At 42.4% G+C, this 26630-nt stretch overlaps 1 protein-coding gene across 2 annotated transcripts in view, besides 3 other annotated features; it reads right to left on the reverse strand.

Annotated features, from left to right (window-relative positions):
* Positions 1-26630, reverse strand: part of MAPK1 (mitogen-activated protein kinase 1) — a 108024-nt gene that overhangs the window by 52506 nt on the left and 28888 nt on the right. The window lies entirely within an intron of this gene.
* Positions 4498-4792: an enhancer, noted in NCBI's record as "tiled region #14215; K562 Activating DNase unmatched - State 25:Art". NCBI's record gives its function as "activates a minimal TATA promoter and a strong SV40 promoter by Sharpr-MPRA in K562 cells {active_cell/tissue: K562}" and the evidence as "EXISTENCE:reporter gene assay evidence [ECO:0000049][PMID:27701403]".
* Positions 4582-4701: a silencer, noted in NCBI's record as "silent region_13516". NCBI's record gives its function as "represses an Ori minimal core promoter by ATAC-STARR-seq in GM12878 lymphoblastoid cells {active_cell/tissue: GM12878}" and the evidence as "EXISTENCE:reporter gene assay evidence [ECO:0000049][PMID:35858748]".
* Positions 25898-26105: a silencer, noted in NCBI's record as "fragment chr22:22192349-22192556 (GRCh37/hg19 assembly coordinates)". NCBI's record gives its function as "represses an EF-1alpha promoter that drives an FKBP-Casp9 reporter gene in an ReSE screen in HepG2 liver carcinoma cells {active_cell/tissue: HepG2}" and the evidence as "EXISTENCE:reporter gene assay evidence [ECO:0000049][PMID:32094911]".

Genomic DNA, 26630 nt, shown 5'->3' on the forward strand with positions numbered 1-26630 from the left:
CACTGCGGGGATAGGGTGAAATGTGCAGATAATTTGTTAGAGTATAAAGTTTCAGTTAACCAGGATGAATAAGTTCTAGAGCTCTATCCTACAGCATGGTGACTACAGTTAATAATAATGTATTATATACTTGCAAATTACTAAAAGATTAGATCTTAAACATTCTCACCACAAAAAGTATGTGAGATGACAGATATGTTAATTACCTTGCTTTAATCATTTCACAATATACACATATATCAAAACATCATGTTGTATATCATGAATATATACTAATTATTTTTCCAGCACTTCCACCTCAGTTTCATATACTAATTTGTATTTGTCAATTATACCTTAATAAAGCTGGGTGGGGGGCAGGGAATCAGCATGGTACTGGCATAAAAACAGACAAATAGACAAATGGAACAGAATAAAGAGTCCAAACATAAAGGATAGTCTCTTCAATAAATGGTGCTGGGAAAATTGGATATCTACTTGCTAAAGAATAAAATGGATACTTATTTCACACCCTATACAAAAATCAAATCAAGACAGATTAAAGACAAAAATTGTAAAACCTGAAATTATAAAAACTAGAAAAGGCTGGGCGCAATGGCTCACCCTGTAATCCCAGCACTTTGGGAGGCCAAGGCGGGTGGATCACGAGGTCAGGAGATCGAGACCATCCTGGCTAATACGGTGAAACCCTGTCTCTACTAAAAATACAAAAAAAAAAAAAAAAAAAATTAGCCGGGCGTGGTGGTAGGCGCCTGTAGTCCTAGCTACTCGGGAGGCTGAGGCAGGAGAATGGCGTGAACCTGGGAGGCAGAGCTTGCAGTGAGCTGAGATCGTGCCACTGCACTCCAGCCTGGATGACAGAGAGAGATTCCGTCTCAAAAAAAAAAAAAAAAAAAAAAGCAAAAGCAAACAAATAAACAACAGACAAACAAACAAAAACTACTAGAAGAAAATACAGGGGGAAAGCTTCTTGACATTGGTCTGGGCAATTATTTTTTGGTTGTGACTCCCAAAGCACAGGCAACAAAAGCAAAAACAGACAAATGGAATTGAATCAAACTAAAAAGCTTCTGCACAGCACAAGCAACAATCAACAGAGTGAAGAGACAACCCAATGAATGGGAGAAAATATTTACAAACCACATATCTGATAAGGGGCTAATATTTAAATATATAAGAAATTCACACAATTCAACAGCAGGAAACAAACAAAATATTTAAAAATGGGCAAAGGCCAGGTGCAGTGGCACCTGCTTGTAGTCCTAGCTATTCAGGGGGCTGAGGTAGGCAGACTGCTTGAGACCAGGAGTTCAAGACCAGCCTGGGCAACATAGAGAGACCCTGTCTCAAAAATGGAAAAAAGCAGGTGCGGGTGGTAGGGAGTGGGGGCAAAGAACCCGAATAGACATTACTCAAAGTAAGACATACAAATGGCCAACAGGTATATGAAAAAAGGCTCAACATCACTAATCAGAAAAATGCCAATCAAAACCACAATGAGATATCACCTCACAGCTATTAGAATGGCTATTATCAGCCACCTACGGTGGCTCACGTCTGTAATCCCAGCACTTTGGGAGGCCAAGGCAGGCGGATCACCTGAGGTCAGGAGTTTGACACCAGCCTGGCCAACATGGTGAAACCCTGTCTCTACTAAAAATACCAAAGTTAGCCAGGCGTGGTGGTACGCGTCTGTAGTCCCAGTTTCTTGGGAGGCTGAGTCAGGAGAATCACTTGAACCCAAGAGGCGGAGGTTGCAGTGAGCCAAGATGGCACCACTGCACTCCAGCCTGGACAACAAGAGTGAAACTGTCTCCAAAGAAGAAAAAAAAAAATGTTCTTGCCCCCACCACACACAAACGTTAACTATGTGAGTTGATGGGTATCTTAATTAGCTTTACTGTGGGGATCATTTCGCAAGGTATACACATATCAAAACATCACATTTAACACAGTAAATATATACAACTTTTATTTGTCAATTATGCCCCAATAAAGGTGGGGGAAAAACCAAAAAGGTCATTCTATCACATGCTATAACATGGATGAAGCTTGAGGACATTATATCAACAGAAATAAGTCACAAAAGACAAATACTGCATAATTTCACTTATATGAGGTATCCAAAATTAACAAACTCATAGAATCAGAAAGGAGAATGGTGGTTAAAAATGGCTGAGGAGAGGGAGAAATGGGGAGATGTGTTCAAGAGTACAGGTTTTCAATTTTCCAAGATGAAAAAGTTCTAGATCTATTGTGCAACAATGTGAATATACTTAACTCTACTGAACTGTGTACTTAAAAATGATTAAGATGGCAAATTGTATGCTTTTTACCAAAACATATAATTAACCAAAACAATTTTACTTTGTAAAGAGATGAAGTCTCGGCTGGGCACGGTGGCTCACGCCTGTAATCCCAGCACTCTGGGAAGCTGAGGTGGGTGGATCACGAGGTCAGGAGATCGAGACCAGCCTGGCTAACATGGTGAAACACTGTCTCTACTAAAAATACAAGAATTAGCAGGGCGTGGTGGCACGCGCCTGTAATCCCAGCTACTCAGGAGGCTGAGGCAGGAGAATTGCTTGAATCCGGGAAGCAAAGGTTGAGTGAGCTGAGATCACGCCACTGTACTCCAGCTCTGGGCGACACTGCAAGACTCCATCTCAGGGGGAAAAAAAGCGAGAGAGACAGAGAGAGAGAGAGAGAGAGAGAGAGAGAGAGAGAGAGAGAGAGAGAGAGAGAGAGATGAAGTCTCACTATGCTGCCCAGGCCGGTCCTGAACTCCTGAGATCACTTCCTCAGGCTTCAGAGTAGTTGGGACTATACGCACATGCCATGGCACCTAGCTTAAAAAAAATTTTTTTAAGGGGGAAAGAAACATGTTAAAGAGGGAAAAAAATTAAGTATTAATTTTTTTTTGATGGAGTCTCGCTCTGTTGCCCAGGTTGGAGTGCAGTGGTGCCATCTGGGCTCACTGCAACCTCCGCCTCCTGGGTTCAAGCGATTCTCCTGCCTCAGCCTCCTGAGTAGCTGGGACTACTGGTGCCCGTCACCACGCACAGCTAATTTTTTGTATTTTAGTAGAGATAGGGTTTCACCATGTTGGCTAGGATGGTCTCGATCTCCTGACCTCATGATCCTCGGCCTCGGCCTCCCAAAGTGCTGGGATTACAGGCGTGAGCCACTGCACCTGGCCCTTTTATTTCTTTTGAGATGGGCTACTCTGTCACCCATGCTAGAGTGTACTGGCACAATTATGGCTGACTGCAGCCCCAACCTCTCAAGTAGCATAGTGGGGACCACAGGTGAGCACCACCACACCTGGCTAATTTTAAAAAGTTTTTTTGTAGAGACAGGGTTCTACAATGTTGCCCAGGCTGATCTCGAACTCCTGAACTCAAGTGATCCTCTTGCCTTAGCCTCCCAAAGTACTAGGATTATAGGCGTGAACCACCACACCTGGCCAATAAAGGGGGAAACTTTTATCCAGCTTTGGGTTAGTACCTTCTATATATCAAGAACTATTCTAACATTAGGACGCAAAAATTATAAATAATACTCTGGGCTGGGGGTGGTTTTCACATCTGTACTCCCAGCATTTTGGGAGGCCAAGGCAGGCGGATCATGAGGTCAGGAGTTTGAGACCAGCCTGGCCAACATGGCGAAACCCCATCTCTACTAAAGATAAAAAAAAAATTAGCTGGGCATGGTGGCATGCGCCTGTAGTCCCAGCTACTTGGGAGGCTGAGGCAGGAAAATCAGTTGAACCCGGGAGGCGGAGGCTGCAGTGAGCCGAGACTGCACCACTGTTCTCCAGCCTGGGCGACAGAGCTAGACTCCATCTCAAAAAAAAAAAAAAATAATAATAATAATAATAATACTCTTCCCTTGAGGAACCCAAGATATTGAGAGTGTCTAGTCATCTTAAATGAACACAACCTCAAGTCCCAGATGAATTCTATCCTAAGACCCATAAATTATGGAGAATGGGAGGACATTAAGGTCTGAAGTGAGCACACCCATCTCAAGTCTCAAAACAGATAGATTCCTGCTATTTGATAATAAAAGGAAATGAGATTCCTATTTGATAATAACAGGAAATGAACTATTGATATATGCAGCACAGATGAATCTCAAGTAATTATGGTGAGTGAAGCCAGACCAAAAGAAATGTATTTCCATCTATAGAAAATACAAAGTAATCCTGGGTTTACTTTGGATTTACCCCCAGGATTGCCTGGGAATGGGAGGAAGAAGATTGCAAATGGAAATGAGGTAACTTTTGGAGGCAATGAGTATGTTCCTTATCCTAATTGTGTTGATGGTTTCATAGGTGTATAATGTATTAAAACTTATCCAACTTTATACTTTAAATGTGTGCAATATTTTGTATATCAATTACTTCTTAGTAAAGCAGTTAAAAAAAAAAAAAAAGAACCAGGGTTCTTTGGCCACATGATTCATTCCAGTGCTGGGGCAATTGGGATACAGATTCTAGAAGTGTACCGATCAATAAACGTAGAAGTCCATGAAATTCTGAAGTAGATTATTTAACAGATGTTTTATGATTGCTTAGGGAAGGAAAGGGAACCAGCATGAGTCAATTATGAACAAGTCATGCTAAACTAGCTTTATTTCCTGTTTTGATAGGGTTACCACAACAACACGAAATGAAGACAGAGTTCTGGTGAATTCAAGCCACGCTTGTCAAGAACTTCCCATTTGTGAGGCTTCATGTTAGGACTGGTGGCAAAAACAAATAATGATCCTGCTCTTAAGAAACTTGCAATTTTGTGAGAGAAGGAGACAGGAACAGAGAACATACTTTGCCTTTTATCACATTAAAGCACTTCTGAAACCCAAGGAGGAGCTGGGTTAACTTCAAATACTAAGGGAAGGATTAAAAGAAGATGAGGCCCGCAAAAGCCTTATCCTGAAGGATGAGTAGGCTTCTGACAGAAAAGCAAGACCGCAAAGAAAAGAAAGAGGAAACAGGAGGCGAGGTAAGAGACTGAGACATCTGTGGTCACTGGCCACTAACCCTCACCCAGACATGCCCATGCCCATGAGAGAAGGTTATTGGGGTCGGGGAAAATGCTCCTCAGGTGCCCGGGAATTCCCTGCATCTGGAAAAGTGTAGTCTGTACCCAGCAGGTGCACTTGAGGTGGTGGTCAAAGGGGCAGCTGCTTGCTGGCGTGTATTGCACCTACATTGTGCAGGCAGGAGGCCACACACGTGCTCAAGCTCACAACACATGGATAGTGCTGTGGCTGGGAAGGGAAGAGCACTATGCTGAAGGTCTGCTCTGCCGGAACTACTGACATAGAACTCTAAGGAGCCTGAGTATTTTCTATTTGAACCCAACCTTCCAGGTCATTAAGAAGGTATATTAGGCCTGGTGTGGGCATGGTGATGCACGCTTGTAATCCCAGCACTTTGGGAGGGTGAGGAGGGCAGATCACTTGAATCCAGGTGTTCGAGATCAGTGTGGACAACATGATGAAACCCTGTCTCTACAAAAAATACAAAAATTAGCTGGGCATGGTGGCACTCGCCTGTAGTCCCAGCTATTTGGGGGACTAGGCAAGAGGATCACTTGAGCCAGGGAGGTTGAGGCTGCAGTGAGCCATGATTGTGCCACTGCACTCCAGCCTGGGTGACAAAGTGAGACCCTATCTCAAAAAAAAAAAAAAGGAAAAGAAGGCATATCTGTCATGGCAGGAGGAGAGAGCAAAGTCTGCTTAATGTTTCTTAGGTTGATTTTTTTTTTTTTTAATGGTATGTAGGGCTCCATTTGTATTCTTGACCTAGACCTTATAAACGTGAGAGGTGGGCCTGGGTCTGGGAGGTACAAAAAGAAGGTGGAGGTAAGGGACAAAGATAGTTTTCAGCATCCTGATTTAAAAATCTAAGAATGCCTGTCAGTGATTCAGATGGAGGAGATGACGGTTCCATCCTTCCAGCAGCATCAGGAGAGAGATCAAGTTGGGAATTCTTAACAGAAGCCACAGTGATTAGCACTCCTGCAGAGAGAGAATTTCAAGAAAAGAAGTCGGAAGACAGAACTCAGGAGCAGCATGAGGATGAGGAATCAGTTAAAGAAAGTGGAAAGAAATGATAATGGAGTAAGAACCTTTAGGCCAGGCGCCGTGGCTCATGCCTGTAATCCCAGCACTCTGGGAGGCCGAGGCGGGTGGATCATGAGGTCAGGAGATCGAGACCATCCTGGCTAACACGGTGAAACTCTGTCTCTACTAAAAATACAAAAAAAATTAGCCGGGCATGGTGGCTGGCGCTACTTGGGAGGCTGAGGCAGGAGAATGGGGTGAACCCAGGAGGCAGAGCTTGCAGTGAGCCAAAATTGTGCCACTGCACTCCAGCCTGGGTGAAAGAGTGAGACTAGTCTCAAAAAAAAAAGAACCTTTGTTGTCCAACTCCAGAGGCCATGTAGTTCTGCTTAACCATGTAGCAGAACCAGAAAAGGGTGGTGTTTCCCAAGACAAAGAAGGAAGGCATTTCAAACAGGAGAGACTGAGAAAAGTAAGAACTGGAAAGCATTCACTGAATCTGCATGCAACCAGACGATGTGTGGTAACTTTGGTTCAAGTAAGGAAATGGAGAGGATGGGGAGAGGAGCAGAAAGAGTACAGCCGACTACTTTTTAAAGAGTGATCATAAGGCAAGGATAACGAAAAAAACTTAAATCCAGGTGAAAAACTGAGAGGCACAGGATGTTATGAAAGCCATGGTCGGGGGCTGGGGGAGGGGAGGCTGAAGGCTGCAGGACCGGGTAGGGTGAAAGAGAAGGCTCCAATGGCTAACCAGGGGGAAGAGAAGGGAGAGTAAATTCCAGGCAGAGGAGATGTGGGGCAGTGGTGCAGAGGCCTGTGGGAACCTGGGGCGACAGAGTGCCTGCAGAGAGGCGGACACACAGGGACATGACAGGGGAAGCTGGAGGGTGAGCAAGAGCCAGGCCATATTTATATTTTCGTAATTTTATCCTGGGAAGCCACCAAAGGATGCTAAGCACAGACTTTAAGCATGGCAACATTTATATTTTTATAACTTTTCCTCAGGTAGCAGTTTGTTGAAAGAATGGAATGGGGAGGATGGTGCACTGGGTCACCCGGAGGCAAGGAGCCCTTTCAGCCAACTCAGAATGAAGGGGAGCCACAGCTCTGGATAAATGGGCAAAGAGCAGGCTCACAAGAAATGGGTGCTTATTTCACAAACCTCACATGTCCCAGCAGGGTCCTGTTCAAGCAGTCTCCATCCAATTAGATGAAATTCCTCAAGGACACAACTGTATGTTCTAAATAGCTCATGTCTTCTTTACTGCAGTTGTAACCAAATTTGCAGGGCGGGAAAAAAACAGTATCCTTATCTGATGCCTCTCAATGAAGATATGACAACAAAAATCCTACAGGTGGCCACAAATGCCATAAGGAACAGGCTGTTAGCCAGAAGTACTTTGGTCTTGACAACTCAGCTTCCACCTGTCCTAGCCCCAAGATACATGAAATACCAGTGGGCCCCAGGCTCAAGTGACCCAAGGATATTTCAAATGTCTTTTTCTTTTCTTTTTTTTTTTTTTTAAAGACAGAATCTTGCTCTGTCATCCAGGTTGGAGTGCACTGGCGTGATCTCGGCTCACTGCAATCTCCCCATCCCGGGTTCAAGTGATTCTCCTGCCTCAGCCTCCCAAGTAGCTGGGACAACCTACAGGCACAAGCCACCAAGCCCAGCTAATTTTTTTTTTTTTTTTTTTAAGTAGAGACAGAGTTTCACCATGTTGGCCAGGCTGGTCTCAAACTCCAGACCTCATGTGATCCACCCACCTCGGCCTCCCAAAGTGCTGGGATTACAGGCATGAGCCACTGTGCCCAGCCTATTCTTTATTCTTAATACTTTATTCATTTGAAAGCTTTCCTTTTGTGGTAAGGTACAGTTCCTTTCACTGATGTTTATTTGTTCTATCATTTCTCATAACCCCCCCACCCCCACATCCTGAAGGTACTTGCTTTCTTGTAGAAATACTTAGGTCTGTCCGTGGCCCTGACCCTGTAAATAGGGCACTTGGCATTACTATTGTTCTCCAATGCCCACAGAAGGTCAGAAAGCAATGAACCAATCTGATCCTCACAGCTATACCACTTCCAATACGGCTACCACTTTTTTTTTTTGGAGACAGAGTCTCGCTTTCTTGTCCAGGCTGGAGTACAGTGGCGCCATCTTGGCTCACTGCGACCTCCGCCTCCCAGGTTCAAGCGACCCTCCTGCCTCAGCCTCCTGAGTAGCAGGCGTGTGCCACCATGCCCGGCTAATTTTTGTATTTTTAGTAGAGACGGGGTTTCACCATGTTCGTCAGGCTGGTCTTGAACTCCTGACCTTGTGATTCGCCCGCCTCAGCCTCCCAAAGTGCTGGGATTACAGGCATGAGCCACTGCGCCCGCCCGTCTCCTCCTTTCAACACCATATTTACTACCGTGTGAAAAGCAACAAATGTTAATATGGTTAATGCAATACACAGTACTTTAAAGTCTTGTTTCTTCCTATGTGAAGACTTCCGTTTTTGGTGTATTTTATATGAGGCAGACATATACACTCATTAGCAATTTAAGTACATTAAAGGTATTAAAAAACAGAATTCTTTTTTTTTTTTTTTTTTGAGACGGAGTCTCGCTGTGTCTCCCAAGGTTGGAGTGCAGTGGCGCGATCTCGGCTCACTGCAAGCTCCGCCTCCCAGGTTCATGCCATTCTCCTGCCTCAGCCTCCCAAGTAGCTGGGACTACAGGCGCCCGCCAACACGCCCGGCTAATTTTTTGTATTTTTAGTAGAAACGGGGTTTCACCGTGTTAGCCAAGATGGTCTCGATCTCCTGACCTCGTGATCCGCCCGTCTCGGCCTCCCAAAGTGCTAGGATTACAGGCGTGAGCCACCGCGCCCGGCCAAAAAACAGAATTCTTAGGAGCTTGAGGATTCTGTTTCACAAAAAAAGACTGACAGTACTCGAAATCAATCTTATTATAGATTGGTGGGGTTTGTGATTAAGTATGAAGAATAAGAAATGTCCATGTCTGCCCATGAAATCATTTTCTCACTATGCTCTGATTAAAACTGACAAACATTTAAACTGAGATTAAAAATAAATTCTACACATTAATCATTTACGCATTCACTTTAAACTTGCTTACACTTACTGATAATACTGCTTTGTCTTAGTTTATAGATGTATATTACTCAAAATATTTACAGTTCATTTATTGGGAACCAGGTAATGATGGTATTGAAAAGAAGTTATGAACAATTCTCACTTAATAATACCTACAATTTATTGAGTGTTTATTATCTGTCAGGCTCTGCTCTATGTTAGTATCTGTGGACCTCTCTCTAAGAAGGTGGTATTTAATGGTGCCTTGAAAAGCAGGTAGGATTTTAATAGGCAGCACACGAAAAAGCACTTAAGGAAGAAGGAGCTACAGAAGCTGAAGCACGGAAGGCTGGGTACCAGGTGCTGGATAGTTCAATATGGCTGGAGTTTACACCTGTCCAGGGGAAGAACAAAAGGTGATGTTACTAAAAAGCTGAGAAATCTGTACTTTACTTCAATAACAGAAGATGAAGAGTCTGGATGTGGTGGCTCATGCCTGTAATCCCAGCACTTTGGGAGGCTGAGGCAGGTGGACCACCTGAGGTCAGGAGTTCAAGACCAGCCTGGCCAACATGGTGAAACCCTGTATCTACTAAAAACACAAAAATTAGGCATGGTTGTGCGTGCCTGTAATCCCAGCTACTTGGGAGGCTGAGGCAGGAGCATCACTTGAACCCAGAAGGCGGTGGCTGCAGTGAGCCAAGATCATGCCATTGCACTCCAGCCTGGGTGACAGAGTGAGACTCTGTCTCAGGGAAGGCAGGGGAGGGGAGGGGAGGGGAAGGGAATCAGAAACACAGGTATAGAACTGACTGAAGGCCAGGCGTGGTGGCTCACGCCTGTAATCCCAAGCACTTTGGGAGGCTAAGGCAGGTGGATCACCTGGAGTCAGGAGTTTAAGACCAGCATGACCAACATGGTGAAACCCTGTCTCTACCAAAAATACAAAAATTAGCCAGGCACGTAGTGGCAGGCTCCTGTAATTCTAGCTACCTGGGAGGCTGAGGCAGAAGAACTGCTTGAACCCAGGAGGTGGAGGGTGCAGTGAACCGAGATCGTGCCACTGCACTCCAGCCTGGGCGACAGAGCAAAACTCCATTTCAAAAAGGAAAAAAAAAGAAAAAAAAAACTGACTAAAGAGGCTAAAACTAGACATAGGGAGACCAGTTATAATTCTTGAAATATCTATACCCATCAACACTTTGAAATTACAGTGCTTGTTAGACCTGCTGCCTGATCTTGCTATTTACGGCATTAGTAAAGAAGCACATATAAAGACTTCTTAATTTTTCAAAAGTGGTATTTCAGCATAACTGATTCCCTTTGTAATCTCACATTTTATTTTATTCATTTAAAATATTAATCTGAAAAGGAGCCACAAGTTTCACCAACTGCCTAAAGGATTCACGTCATTAAAAAAAAAAAAAAAAGATGAGAACTCTTGTTATAAGGGCAATTTATAGATTCAGTGGAAATGGCAGAGACAGGAAACTAGTACAGAAGTTTGTATTCAAGAGAAAAAAAACGTCAGTTTGGGATCGTAAAGGATGTGCATCAAATAACTTTAAAAACATTTGAATGTTAAAGTTAATTTTATTTATCAAATAATCACCTACATTATGTTAAGCACTGTGGATAAAGCAGTAAAAATATAAAGCTCTCTGCCCTCATAAACTATGAGAGGAGATAGACATAGAGGCTGGGTGCAGTGGCTCATGCCTGTAATCCCAGCACTTTGGGAGGCTGCGGCGGGTGGATCACCTGAGGTCAGGAGTTTGAGACCTGCCTGATCAATATGGTGAAACTCCATCTCTACTGAAAATACAAAAATTAGTTGGGCGTGGTGCCGTGCCATCTGTAGTCCCAGCTACTCGGGAGGCTGAGACAGGAGAATCGCTTGAACCCGGGAGGCAGAGGTTGCAGTGAGCTGAGATCGCGCCACTGCACTCCAGCCTGGGTGACAGAGGGAGACTCCATCACAAAAAAAAAATAAGAGAGAGAGACATAGGTATTAATAAACATATTTGTCATAAACATGACTACATTATAAATTATGATAATTGCTAAGGAAAATGCAAGTTATATAATTAATGTTATTAAGGATAACTAGAAAACTTAGTTTAAATTAGAAGCTTACGGAAGACTCTTCTTCTCTAAAGAAATTAGGGAAGGCATTTAAACAGAGAACTGAAGGATAAGCCGGAATTAGCCAGGTTGCTGGGTGGCAAAGGCAGCAAGTATTCTACAAGCAGGGAGAGGGTAGACCAGAAGTAGACCAGAAGTAGACCAGAAGCCCTAAGAAGACCACTGTGGCTACAGTGTACCAGAGAGAGCGTGGCTCACGATGAGGCAGAAGAAATGCGCAGTGACCCAGCAGTTATGCTAAGGATTTATCTTTTAAGTGTCCTTTCACTTTAAACTGGGGAATAAAAGTATCCAACTTATATTTTGTAAATGATCTTACCAAATAAGAGAAAAACTGAACTGTAAAAAGGAAAAAGTGGCTGGGGGCAGTGGCTCATGCCTGTAATCCCAGTGCTTTAGGAGGCCAAGGCAGGTGGACTGCTTGAACCCAGAAGTTCGAGATCAGGTTGGGTAACATAGTGAGATCCTGTCTCTATTTTAAAAAAAGAAAATAAAAATAAAAAAAGGAAAAAGTTAAAAAAAAAAAAAAAGGAAACCGTTCCAAGCACTGCCATAATACCAGCAAGAGGTGACTGACAGTGGCGTGGACTAAGCAACAAGGATGTAATTGGCATGTTAAGCAGGTCAGTTCAGTGTTCAGTGTGAAACCATACCACCCACTGCAGGACATCTAGCAACCCAGACCCAAGGTCACTATCAATCCAGCAGCACTCTCAAGTCAGTAAAATAATAATTTAAAAAAAAAAAAAAAACACCCACCACATCTCTGAAGGGAGTAGTAAAGTCCTTGGAATGCGTAAGAGCAGTGACAGTGGAAATGGAAAGAGACAGCCAAGACTGAAAGGGAAAGGCTGCTGAGTGGGATCCACGAATGAGATGGTGAGCAGAGCAGGCCAGATAAGATCATCAAGGTCAAAAATGAATTGTGCAGAGAGGAGAAAAAATTTGCAATATGTAGGACTTGTATTTAGCATACATAAAGAACTCTTAAAACTTCAAAACAAGACTACAAACAACCCAATATTACAAATAGGCAAAAGAATAAACACTTCCTTTGTGACAACAAATATGAAAATATGACTGATGAGTCATAAAGGAAATGTAAATTAAAACCAAATACCCATTAGAATAGCTAAAATAACTGACCAATACCAAGTGTTGGTGAGGATGCAGCAAAGTTGAAACTCTCATATACAGATGTCTGTAGGAGCTTTATTCCTAACAGCCCTAAACTGTGTACGACCCAAATGTTAATTAACAAGCAAAGGGTAAACAAACTGTGGTACATCCATACAACAGGACAGTACTCAGCAATAAAAGGAATTACTACTAATCCATGCAACAAGGACAAATCTGAAAAACACTATGCTAAATGAAAGAAGCCAAACACAAAGAGAACAAACTTTTAAATCCCATTTATATGAGATTCTAGAAAAGCTGAAGCTAATCTATAGTGATAGGAAGCCGTGGCTGGGTGCAGTGGCTCACACCTGTAATCCTATGACTTTGGGAGGCTGAGGTGGGTGGATGACGAGGTCAGGAGTTTGAGACCAGCTTGGCCAACAAGGTGAAACCCCATCTCTAGTAAAAATACAAAAATTAGCTGGGCGTGGTGGTGTGCACCTGTAATCCCAGCTAGTCAGGAGGCTGAGGCAGGAGAATCGGTTGAACCTGAGAGACAGGAGGTTGCAATGAGCCGAGATCGCGCCATTGCACTCCAGCCTGGGTGACAGAGCTGGACTCTGTCTCAAAAACAAAAGGAAAGAAAGCCGTGCTTGCCTGAGGCACAAACTGACTGCAAAGGTACCCAAGAAAGCTTTTTGAAGTGATGTAAATATTCTGTATCTTTATTGTGGTGGCAGTTACACAACTACATACATTTGTCAAGATTTCACTGAACAGTACACATAAAAAGATACATTTTATTGCATATAAATTATATCTCAAAAGGTGATTTTTTAAAAATTTAGCTGTGCTACAAAATTAAGGGGTTGATTCTCTTTCATGGTTCATAAGCTCATATTCAAGGAAATTCCAAGGGAAATGTTCCAAACAGGTTTTAAGTAATGACAGTATCATTAGAATAAATGCCCAGCCTTCCACAATCATTTCAAAGGCTTTGACATAAAATTTCTAATATTTTTAGGTTTTCTTCCCATCCTCTTCATCCCCTGTCATTATAGTCATGTCTCATAGCAGAGGCTCAATATTTGTGGATAATATATCCACCTTATTTAGACAAACGTTATTATCATGCACAAGCACCATATACTGTAGCAACTAAAATGCTACCTAACAACTGTGAATGGGTTATTTTTAGGGAAAGCTATTAAGCTGTTCTCTAAGCCACCCATTTTGGTGAACTTTAATTATCTGAACACGAAACTACAGCACTCTGTTTCACAGATAAAAATTATCTTGTCTTCAGATGCTAAGTAAGTTAGACTGAGCCAAACTCATGTTCCAAAAATAAATAGGTAGATAATACTAATGATTGCTTTAAAAGAAAATGTATTCCTTACTTTAGCTTGGTTCTCTGACAATTCACTAACCAAGAAAAACAGTGCAAAGGTTTTTTTTTTTCAGATGCTGCAAACCATTAAGTGAACTATTAAAAGCTAGCCTAAGGTTATTTAAGCAATAAAACCAGTAATAGCAAATGCTTAGCATTTATTCATAATTTTTTATTATTTTAAGAGCCAATGTTCCAATGTACTATAGGTACCATGGCTTAAAATCTAGTCATTAACAAGTATGCAACTTCTCTAGAAAAGGTGCTCTGGAGAGCCCAGAGCTTGAACAAGTTTTGTTGGTTACATATGCATTTGTCAATTTCTTCAGTAATAAAACAGACTAAAAGACCCAGAAAAGGTTTCAATTCTGGTCCTATCCCTCACTAGCTGAGAGACACTGGCTGAATTACTTAGTATCTCTGAGTAATCACTTGCTTGGCTAGAAAATGAGGAAAGCCCGGGGATTGTGAAGATTAGAAAAAGCAGATGCAGCCTAAAAGATAGTAGGCCTTCAAAAAAAAGTTGTATGGTCTTTTAAAAATTATTTTACTTGGCCGGGCGCGGTGGCTCACGCCTGTAATACCAGCACTTTAGGAGGCCGAGGCAGGAGGATCACGAGGTCAGGAGATCGAGACCATCCTGGCTGACACGGTGAAGCCCCGTCTCTACTAAAAATACAAAAAATTAGCTGGGCATGGTGGCAGGCGCCTGTGGTCCCAGCTATTTGGGAGGCTGAGGCAGGAGAATGGCATGAACCCGGGAGGTGGAGGTTGCAGTGAGCTGAGATTACGCTACTGAACTCCAGCCTGGGCGACAGAGCGAGACTCCGTCTCAAAAAAAAAAAAAATTATTTTACTTATTATTATTCATTACATTTATCATGTGATACCCTAAAAAGGAAGTAACATCAGAAAAGAACACTGGGCTTCAAATCAGGAGGTCTGAGTTTTAGTCCTAACTCAGCTATGCCCTACATATATGCTTTGATAATGCTGGCCAAGTTACAAAAAGAAGATTCCATTATTTCATGTTCAGGCTACATCCAAACATAAGCAGCACAAAATAAAAAATATGGATAAAGAGACACACTCAGTTATACAGGTGTATGCGCAGACACTGACATAGATGAAGACTTGTAGTGACTTATATTCAGAAAAGTTTCCACAAATTTTTGGTGAACTGTGGTACCCAAATTATTAAAGTATGAAAAACATTTCTCTCTTCATGAATGGGAAAAATGTCTATTTTACTTGATCTAAGATATACTACCAGGATTTAGTACTGCGACTATCCATCATCTTAAAAATCCATAACCAAGCAGCTCTGTTTTACTTAAAGCATGCTAGGGTAGCCCAAAGTGAGACTTGGTAACAGATACTATCTAATGCAAAGCAGTTACTGCTTAGAAGTGTTCTGAACTTGCCATGAGAAAGAAAGGGAGACCCTGATGAAATAGATGGAGTATCCACTTCTTGATCATTTCCCTACATTTCCTTTCTCCTCATTTATTTCCTCCCACTTTCACTGGAAAAGAACTTTACAATGGTCTGGGTGAGGCTAGCTGGCAGTGAGTTATGACAACAGCTAGAAGTAGTATCAACACAAACCAAGAGCATTAAGTGACCCCTGAGGTAGAGTGAGAAAATAAGGAAGGACTACATTTAATCATAATGATCATAGTCACTAGCACAGTGCTAAGAACTTAAGAAAAATCCTTATATATTATCTTCACCACAACCCTATGAAACATAACCCCTACTTTATAGATGAAGAAACTGAGGCAGAGTGGAGGGTCAACTAACGTGTCCATGATTACATACCTAGTAGTTAACAGAACTGAGATTCAAATCCAGGTGTGCTGACCCCCAAAACCCATGTTCTGAACCATGACACTTTATATAGGCCAACAGTCCTTGGCCACAGGCTCTTGTGGTGATCAACCAAGTTCAGGTTCATCATTGAGCCAGATTCAGACAGGTCAACTGAAAAGAAGCTGAAGAAGGCAGGCAGTAAGGACAAGAAAAATAATCATAATGATCATGATATAGAAAATGTACTGCTTCCCAAAGTAGCCTATCCATTTGGAAGGTTCTGGCTATTTAGATCTATTTCCTCAGGATAAGTCAAAACCTGTCTTTCCTGAAATAAGGTGAGTATGTGCTGTAAATGAGGTGTGGGAGTATGGGAGAGCAGGCTGGAAGGCAGAAGATGTGAAGGCAAACCAGGCACAGGGAAGGTGAGAAAGGGACCCGAACGGGGACAAGTTAAAAGAAAACATTGAAGACTCAGCAGAAAGAATCCAGAGATGTTTAGTGCTGCCAATCATGACAATTAAGTGACTTTCTCCAGTATGTATCAGCAGTCTGAGCAAGATCAGACAAAATAAACAGTAGGGTTCCTATAGAGTGGGAGTGGAGAGATCAGGAGAACTGAGAATCTGGTCAGAGTGGGGAGGTCAGCAGACAGAATCCAGAGCGAGGCCAGAGAGGACCAGCACACCGGGAAAACACAAAGGTGAGGGTCTCAAGCCAGGGGTCGTCAGGGAGAGAGGGCAGGATAGGGAGCCATGGTCTAGAAAAGAGGATGATCTACTTTGTCATGGTGACCCTGGCATGCTTTTGTAAGCTGTACCCCAACGAGTCAAGTCAAAGGAAGAGAGGCTCAGATGACCACCTCCGTCACTGAAATGTAAGAGTGAAGAAATGCAAATATTTTCTGAACTGCCTCACTTTTGGAAATATTAAACACCTGTCTCAGAAATCTGGAAAATGACTAAGATGGGGAAAATGTTTAAACTTGCAGTATCCAGTATTATTATCTAAACTGAAAAGAACTGCCTGCACAACTAAGCAGGTGGTGAGATGTTACATAACAGATGCTAAACTAGGTAAAGTGGAAAAATGTAATACATAATTATAACTTTAAAATGCCAGTAAGAAAATCTTCAGTCAGCTCTGGAAAACTAATTTTACTTCTTTTCATGAAAAAGTTGCAGTTAGTTTCTTTTGCAACCTGTCATGATAGAAGAGGAATTGCAGAAGGAAAGGAAGACCCTAAACAAAACTGATAATCATTCATCTGTATGTGTTTTAAAACATATGCAGGTAGTTTTCATATATGGCTGGTGGGAATGCAAACTGTACAACTCTTCTGGAGGGGAACTGGGCAATACCTAACAAAATTATATATGTGTACATCTTTTAACCCAGCAATCCTACTTCTAAGAATCTACTCTGAAGGTACACCTCCAATGATATGAAAAAACATATGTACAAGATTATCCACAGTAGCACTATTTGTAATTGCAAAATACTGGAAACAATCTAAATGCCCACACATTGGAGGAGACTGAAGACACTATGTTATATCCACATGGAGTACTATGCAGCAGTAAAAATGAATGAAAATCATTCTAAGATGTCTAAGAACAGACACAGAATGAATTCCAAGATATATTGTTAAGTGAAAAAACCAAAGTACAAGATTTAGACTATGCTATCCTTCATATAAGAAATGGGCAATAAGAACATATACATATATCTGCTTATTTGTACAAAAGAAATACAGGAAGGATAAACCAGAAACTAAAGAGATCAGCTACCTACAGGGGATAGGTGGGAAAGGGATAAAACGAAATGGGAATGGATGGTAGGGATAAGGAAGGAGTGATATTTCTCTGAGTATATCTTTGTGTATAGATGACTCAAAACCAGAGTAATGTAGCGCATACCAAAAAAATTAAAGAACCCAGAATACAAACAGTAACAAGTGAATCTAACTGCGTTACAAAGGAATAACATAACCACACTGAAGGGCATGAGGAAGAAACTTTGAAAACCTATTTTGACTGGATATTGTAAAGCTAAAGGCATAAAGAACTGTAACACAAATGCTGCTACCTAGTAAGTAAATTTGTTTCTCACAAAGATGTGAGTTAGCAATTCTGACACTAATTCATGTAGACAGTGGTACTGACTGAAAAAGTAAGTTTAAAAAAATGAAGGATAATGACAGCCAGGTTGGCAAAATAATTACAAATAAGAGGGAAGGCTAAAATAAACCACACAGTGTTGGATTAGAATGAGATATCAGTATGAACTCATAATTTCTAACATATACACAGACATACACAGAAATAAACATAGATACATGTGTAATATGTAGCTGAGTATACATAAGCCTATTTTCCTAGTTCTGTCTGCTGAGAAGACTTAGAAGCAGTGACACCCAGTAGCAATGAGCACACTTAAAAGCATATTGACAGCCAGGCTGTAATCCCACTTTGGGAGGCCGAGGTGGGTGGATCATTTGAGGTCAGGAGTTTGAGAACAGCCTGGCCAACATGGTGAAACTCCTCTTTTACTAAATAAATTCCTTTACTAAATAAAAAAATTAGCCAGGCGTGGTGGCGGGCATCTGTAATCCTAGCTACTCAGGAGGCTGAGGTTCAAGAATCACTTGAACCCGGGAGGTGGAGGTTCCAGTGAGCCAAGATTGCACCATTGCACTCCAGCCTGGGCAACAAGAGCGAAACTCCATTTCAAAAAAAAAAAAAAAAAATACAAAAGCATATTGAAAGGGCCTAGAGGCCAACCTGAAAGAGCAAACTAAAGTTGAAATTGTAACAATCTGAGCAACAAAATAAATCACAGTATTAGACTAAATCCATAGAATAAAACACATATCCATGCATCCACACCTATATAAATAAGTGAATAAATGAGAGGGAGGATAGTTCTTCCTTACAGATGCACTCCAATTAATACAGAAGGAATGAAGGAAATTGGGGAAAAAAATCAGAATTAGGCAAAAACCACAATAATAAGTTTCAGACAAGACCCATGGATGGATGCTAAAATCAGTGAGTAAAATTGATCACAGTCTCAGAGTACATCCCCTAAGATGTCTACGATAATAGTCGTAAAAGGATAAACAGGCAGATACCACCACCTTAACCAAATGATTAACATCTAAGACACAGCAACATCATGAATTCTCAGATATGATGTGCTGAGAAGAGCACAACACACTTAAAAATGCATAATCTCATTCTAATCATGAAAAAACTCAGACAAGTCCAGGTGCAGCGGCTCACGCCTGTAATCCCAGTGCTTTGGGAGGCTGAGGCGGATGGATCACCTGAGGTCAGGAGACCAGCCTGGCCAACATGATGAAACCCCATCTCTATTAAAAATACAAAAAACTAGCTGGGCACGATGGCAAGCGCCTGTAATCCCAGTTATTTGGGAGGCTGAGGCAGGAGAATCGCTTGAACCTGGGAGACAGAGGTTGCAGTGAGCCAAGATTGCGCCACTGCACTCCAGCATGGGCAACAGGGGCAAAACTCCATCTCAAGCAAACAAACAAACAAACAAAAACAAAAAAATCAGACGAGCCAAATGCAGTGGCTCACACCTGTAATCCCAGCTATTTGGGAGGCTAAGGCAGGAGGACTGCTTTAGCCCAGGAGTTTGAGGAAGACCCTGTCTCGAAACAACAAAAAAAACCCTAAGAATAACTGTCCTAGACTGTGTGTATATGTGTGTATGAATTGGGATTTTATTTTGTAAAGGACCCCAGGTGATTCTAAAGTTCAACTAAGATGGAGAGTCACTGCACCAACCCTTTTCTTCTCAGCTCACTTTGTCCTGGGCCCATATCTCATGGTTTTGGGTCTACTGTGGAAGTACCTTCTCTACAGAACAAAGACAAAGCAATAGAACCCAAATTCTTCCAATTCCCTTTGGGATCTATTCCCTTCTTCTCCTGCCTACCAGTATGAACTTCTATGGGATTATGCTGATGAGAAAAAATAAATTACATTTAAGTGACTGATACCAAAAACTGGAATTACTTCACAGATGAGAAACCTGGTCCCAGATACAGTGCACCTTCTGGACCTCAGTATCTTCAATTTTAAAATCATTGTTTTGAATCTGATTTCTAATTGTTAAGCTGAAGTGTTTCTTTAAATTTTTAAGTTGGTTAAAATGTGTGTGTGTGTGTGTGTGTGTGTGTGTGTGTGAAAGAACCTGCTCCCTCATCCTCAACAGCCTCATCAATCTCCACCCATTACCCATTTTTATTAGTTGCTTATCTTTCCATTATTTCCTCATGCAAACACAAATACATATTAATTTATTTACACGTATTAGAGTAAAGTGATTTCTAAATCTGAAGAGGCATCAGACTCATCCAGGGAGCTTTTTAAACAAGTGGACACTTAGTTTCTATTTTATACCTATTGACTGAACAAAACCCCTGGAGAGTGGAGCCCAGAACTTTGACAAAGTTCTCTCAGGCAGTTTTCTGTGACAGACACCTCTCAGGGTACTTACCCCAGCCCACATCACCTTTACCCAATAGGGATCTGTCCCCTTTTGTCTGTGCTGTTGAGAGTATTGCTCCTGGCCACAGCTGATGAGGTACTACCCAGCCCAGACAAGAATCCATTCTAAGGTAGAGCTGGGCCAACTAGCTCCTCTTCTCAGACAGCCTGGAGCTGGAGCACAGAGACTCCAAGGGGCCAGGCTGGCTGGCAGAAGAGTATCTGGTTGCATAACTGGGAATGCTGGGATGGGCCACATGCACCCAGACTTCATTCTGCAGAGAGGAGCCAAGTAGTAGACAGATCTGGACTGCAGAAACAAGGCCTGCTGCTCCACAGAGAATGACAGAGGCACTGCCTTGGTTCTCAGTGACTTCCCAATTCTTCAATCTAGTCCTCCATTCCTCAGGTCTTCAGTAGGTTTTCTGGAGTGAGTGAAGGCAGCAGGAGTTTCAGCAGTCGTCCTGCAGATCATCTGTTACTCTGAATATGCAGTGGGTGAGTGTTGTGGGCGTGGCTGTTATCTGGGGGCAGGTTGAAAAGCTGCAACACTGCCACTGACTCTGGCAGTTATTTCTCTGTCTAGGTCTTTGCTTGTGTTTGGAACAGATGTATTTACTGCTCAAGAGTGCAAATGAGGAGACAATATGGGAAGAAAAGAAAAGAAATTTCAGAAATAAGATTTCCACTGTAACTTGAGAAATAAAAAATTTGAGTAATTTCACAAGAACTCATAATTCTGCTTAACTAGTATTCCGTAGGATGACAGTGGCAATGTGGCAGCTTTTCAACCTGCCCCCAGATAGCAGCCATGCCCACAACACTAACCCACGATACATTCAGAGTAACAGATGATCTCCAGGACGAATGTTCAAACTTGTGCCGTCTTCGCTCACTCCCGAAAACCTACTTAAGTGATAGAGTATATTTGAAGAAATAACCTTCAAACTATTCAACTTTTATTTTGGGTCAAGATACAAAGCCTTGGTCTTGGAAGTCCTGAAACCTGAATTCAAGTTCTTGTATTGTATCACAGCTCTGTGCTTGTAACCTCGGGCAATTATCTTAACCTCACTGAACCTCAGTATCTTCCTCTGTAAAATGTAAAGAATACTTATCTCACATATAAGGTTACTTGGATGAACAGGTACGTGAACTTGTTTCATAAATTCAATACAAACAGTGTCACTGCCATCTAGATTTTTATCACTTTCATCTCCAATCTCACTTTTTTCATTATTTTAATATAATTTTAAATAATTACCTTTTTTTTTGAGATGGAGTCCTGCTCTGTCACCCAGGCTGGAATGCAGTGGCGCAACCTCGGGTCACTGCAACCTCCGCCTCCCAGGTTCAAGCAATTCTCCTGTCTCAGCCACCCAAGTAGCTGGGATTACAGGCACCCCGCAATTTTTTTGTATTTTTAGTAGAGACAGGGTTTCACCATGTTGGGCAGGCTGGTCTGGAACTCCTCGCCTCAAGTGATCTGCCTGCCTTGGCCACCCAAAGTGCTGGGATTACAGGTGTGAGCCACCGCACCTGGCCCTTAAATAATTAAATTTAATAATCATTATCATTCTTATTCTTTTTGTTGATAACTGTAAACTCTGCATTAGTTTTCCTTATATTTCTTTTCCTTTTTTTTTTTGGAGACAGAATCTCGCCTTGGCTAGAGTGCAGTGGTGCAATCTTGGCTAACTGCAACCTCTGCCTCCCGGGTTCAAGTGATTTTCCCCCCTCAGCCTCCTGAGTAGCTGGGATTACAGGTGCCCGCCACCACACTCAGCTAATTTTTATATTTTTCAGTAGCGACAGAGTGGTCAGGCTGGTCTCGAACCCCTGTCCTCAGGTGATCCACCTGCTTTGGCCTCCCAAAATGCTGGGATTACAGGCGTGAGCCACCAGGCCTGCCCAGTTTTCCTTATATTTCATTAGGCATAAAAATTATGAAGCTGGGTGCGGTGGCTCACACCTGTAATCCCAGCACTTTGGGAGGCCGAGGCGGGTGGATCACCTGAGGTCAGGAGTTCGAGACCCGCCTGACCAACATGGCAAAACCCCACCTCTACTAAAAATACAAAATTAGCCAGGCATGGTGCTGCATGCCTTTAATCCCAGTTACTTGGGAGGCTGAGGCAGGAGAATCACTTGAACCAGGGAGGCAGAGGCTGCAGTGAGCCAAGATCGCGCTACTGCACTCCAGCCTGGGCGACAGAGCGAGACTCTGTCTCAAAACAAAACAACAACAAAAACAAAAAACAAAAAACTCTATCTATCTATCTATCTATCTATCTATCTATCTATCTATCTGCATGCTAATTTTTAGAACATGATAACTACATAGGACTTTAAAATAGTTAAAAGTCCTACCATAGAGTCGAGGTGACTTAGCCAGTCACCCAAAAACAGAGCTAGGATTAACCCTTATTCATTCTTCTGAATTCTATGTTCTTTCCATTATACAAGAATGTGCCCAGAAAATCCTACACAACAGAACTCTGGGAAGAGCTAAGCTGAGAAATGGTACAGAATGCTGCCTTCAAAACCCAAGAAAATAAACACATTATAAACAAAGAACAAAGATAAGACTCAACTGCAAGGAACACAGCAAGCAAATTTTAAAGGGCAGCCCAGGAAGGAGCTGAGAGTGTTAAGTACAAACCATCAAGGCTCAAGAGAAAAGGAGATGGCTTCACAGAATCAAAAACCCACAAGAAGTCAGGCATGATGGCTCGCACCTGTAATCCCAGCATTTGGGGAAGCTGACGCAGATGGATGGCTTGCCCCTACCAGTTTCAGACCAGCCTGGGCAACACAGAAAGCAGTCTCCATCAACACGAAACATTTTAAAAATTAGCTGGGTGTGATGGCTCCTGCCTGTAGTCCCAGCTACTCGAGAGGCTGAACTGAGGGAGGAAGGGACCCAGAATCACCCAGCTATGATCACTGCAGTCTAGCCTGTGCAACAGAGACCCTGTCTCTAAAACTAACTAAAGAAATAAATAGCAGGAAGAAGTAAAAAGAAAGATCTAGGATGCAGGAAGAGAATGAGAAGACACATACCCGGACCCAGCCAAAAAAATAAAAATCAACAATGATTACTCTCGAAATTGATGTTATGAAATCAATGCCAAACAGTAATACATAAATAAATAAATCCTGATACAAAATAGTAAAATGCATGCAGAAATGTAAGCAAACAAGAGTGCAAAAGAATACCTGCACACTCAGAGTCAAGTAGGGCTGGTTCTACATTGTTAAAGGACACAGAGGCTGGCTGCTACACGCTGGGGGAGGGAAGAAATGGAGAGTGACTGCTCATGGGAATGGGGTTGCTTTTTGAGGTAATAAAATGTTCTGGGATTAGACAGTGGTGGTGGTTCCAAAACTTTGTGAATATATACTGAAAACAACTAAATTATATTCTTTTTAAAGGTGAAGTTTTTCTTTTCTCTGGTAGGTAAATTATGTCCAAAAAAAAAAAAAAAAAAAGCATGGTCCCTTCAAACAAAAATCCCTTTTCTCAGATCATTATTTCAGGAGCTAACACTTAAAAGAGAGATCCCTTCACTCTGGAAAGCTGACAGTAATCAAAACAGGGCATGAAAGCCTGGAGCAGGGAGACAGATCAGCTCTGGGAGTTGGGATGGGGAAGAAGAGAGAAATGGCATCTTGATGATACTTTTTATCCTGGCCAACCCACTTCACCAGCGAAAAGCTGATAAGCACTCAAGACAGAGGCCCTACACTAAAGAATTTAAAAGTATACAGGCCGGGTGTAGCAATTTGTACCTGTAATCCCAGCACTTTGGGAGGCTGAGGCAGGCAGATCACTTGAGGTCAGGAGTTCGAGACCAGGCTGGCCAACACAGAAAAACCCAGTCTCTACTAAAAATACAAAAATTAGCCAGGTGTGGTGGTACATGCCTGTAGTCCCAGCTACCTGGGAGGCTGAGGCAGGATAATCACTTGAACCCAGGAGGCGGAGGTTGCAGTGAGCCAAGATTGTGCCACCACACTCCAGCCTGGGCGACAGAGTGAGACTCAAACAAACAAACAAACAAAAACAAAAACAGAACTTAAAAGTATACATCTGGGGGGAGAAAAAAAATGTAGGGGTGGACGTGGTGGCTCATGCCTGTAATCCCAGCACTTTGGGAAGCTGACGCTGTGGATCCCTTGAGCCCAGAAGTTCGAGATCAGCCCTGGGCAATATGGAGAAACCCAGTGTCTACAAAAAATACAAAAAAATTATCTGTAGCCGGGTGTGGTGGCACGCGTCCGTAATCCCAGCTACTCAGGAGGCTGAGGCAGGAGAATCGCTTGAATCCAGGAGGCAAGAGGTTGCAGTGCGCCGAGATCGCGCCACTGCACTCCTGCCTGGACGACAGAGCGAGACTCCGTCTCAAAAAAAAAAATTATCTGGGGTGATGGTGTGCGCCTGTGGTCCCAGCCACTTGGGGGGCTGAGGTGGTAGAATCACCTGAGCCCAGGAGATCGAGGCTGCAGTGAGCCATGATCATGCCATTGCACTCTAGCCTGGGCAACAAAGTGAGGCTGTCTCTAAAAAGTTAAAAATAAATTAAAACTAAAATGAGGGCCAGGTGTGGTAGCTCACGCCTGCAATCCCAGCACTCTGGGAGGCCAAGGTGGGAGGATCGCTTGAGTCCAGGAGTTCGAGACCAGCCTTGGCAACATAGTGAGACCCTGTCTCTTGAAAATAAAATAAAAAATTTAAAAATTTTTAAAAACTGAAAAAATGAAGCAATATAAATGCCCAACAAATGGGGGCAACAGTTATATAAATAACCTGTTTTTAATAAAATTTAACATTATGTTGATGTTACATGTTGGAGTCAGATACATAGAAAAAGGAAAAAATAGGACACAATAGTATGGGATAATCATTACGTAGGTTTAAAAAAACAAAAGAATCCTTGCTGAGAACAGGTCTGGCAGAGCAAAGTGAGCTTTAGCCTGAAGTGGGAGGGAGAAAGTAAAACAGTGGGCAGGGCTCTGGAGGAAAGAAGGATGGTAGTGCTTCAAAGGGAAGCAGAAGTTTTGGCTTTGTTTTATTTTTAGGACAGAAGAGTGATCAGCCCCTAGGAATTTGGATGAGATCATCCAGAGAGTGTGTATGGGACACAGAGGGCCCAAGAACTAAGAACAAAGAGTCAAAGACTTGGGAAAACCAGAGGTGTCTCAGCAAAGTAGTAGATGTAACTTTTTAAAAAGGAAATGGCTTATAACATCAAGTGCTCCAGAAAAAATCAAAATCTTTTGATTTTCCAGGGAGAATGGCAAAAAAAGGGGAAAAAGAATCTTTGGTGAGGAAGGCCTTCAGGAAAAAGCAACCAGTCCAGAAAGATCAAAATCAAGAAAGACTGTACATAGAGTGTGCACACCATCAGTTCAGAGTGCAAGAGTGGGGGTAGGGGGCTAAAGTCTGGCTCTCGTGGGCAGAAGAGGTGGGCACAGAAAGCAGAGCAAGCAGCACGAACCATTCCCGAGAGAGCCTGACTATGAAGGGGAGAGAACAAATGGCACTTGTCTCACAGACTCTGGGGCAGTGCCCAGGAAATTAAATTTAGGACTATATATCAATTTAAAAGTACTGGATAGAGTAACGAAAGTGATGTTTTCAGTAAGTGTTGTACAGCAGAAGGCTTGTTTTTGTTGATTTTAAAAATCTTTCATGGGAGATTGGAGAGATGCTGGTAAAAAAAAATACAGCATTAAAATAAAATCTTTCACTATAAAACTAGCTAGTACGGCCAGGAGTGGTGACTCACACCTGTAATCCCAGCACTTTGGGAGGCTGAGGCGGGGTGGATCACCTGAGGTGAGGAGTTCAAGACCAGCCTGGCCAACATCGTGAAACCCCATCTCTACTAAAAATACAAAAATTAGCCAGGCCGTGGTGGTTCATGCCTGTAATTCCAGCTACTTGGGAGGCGGAGACAGAATTGCTTGAACCCGGGAGGCGGAGGTTGCAGTGAGCTGAGATCGCACCACTGCACTCCAGCCCGGGCGACAGAGCAAGACTCGGTCTCAAAAAAATAAAATAATTAATTTTTTAAAATGCTAGTGTAACTTCAGAAAACTTAGAATATGATTTTAAATAAAAATAATAACTAAACTAAAAAAGCAAATCCTGTATAAGCCCTTAGTTACTTGGGAAGTCATTTAAAAGTTAAGCCCATATCATCTCAAATTCCAAAACTTATTGCAAGGTAAATAATCAAAAGGGTGGTGCTGGCACAAAGAAAAAAGATATAGATTGATGGGACAGAAATGAAAATCTAGAAATAAACCCATCTATGGTCAACTGATTTTTGACAAGGGTGCCAACACCACTCAGTGGGGAAAGGAAAAGACTATCCTTTCCCTTCAACAAATGATGCTGGTACAACTAGACAGCCATGTGCAAATGAATAAAGCTGGATCCTTACACTTCACAATATACAATGGCTCAAACACTTAAATGTA

This window comes from Homo sapiens, chromosome 22 (assembly GCF_000001405.40).
Source record: "Homo sapiens chromosome 22, GRCh38.p14 Primary Assembly".
Taxonomy (NCBI): domain Eukaryota; kingdom Metazoa; phylum Chordata; class Mammalia; order Primates; family Hominidae; genus Homo; species Homo sapiens.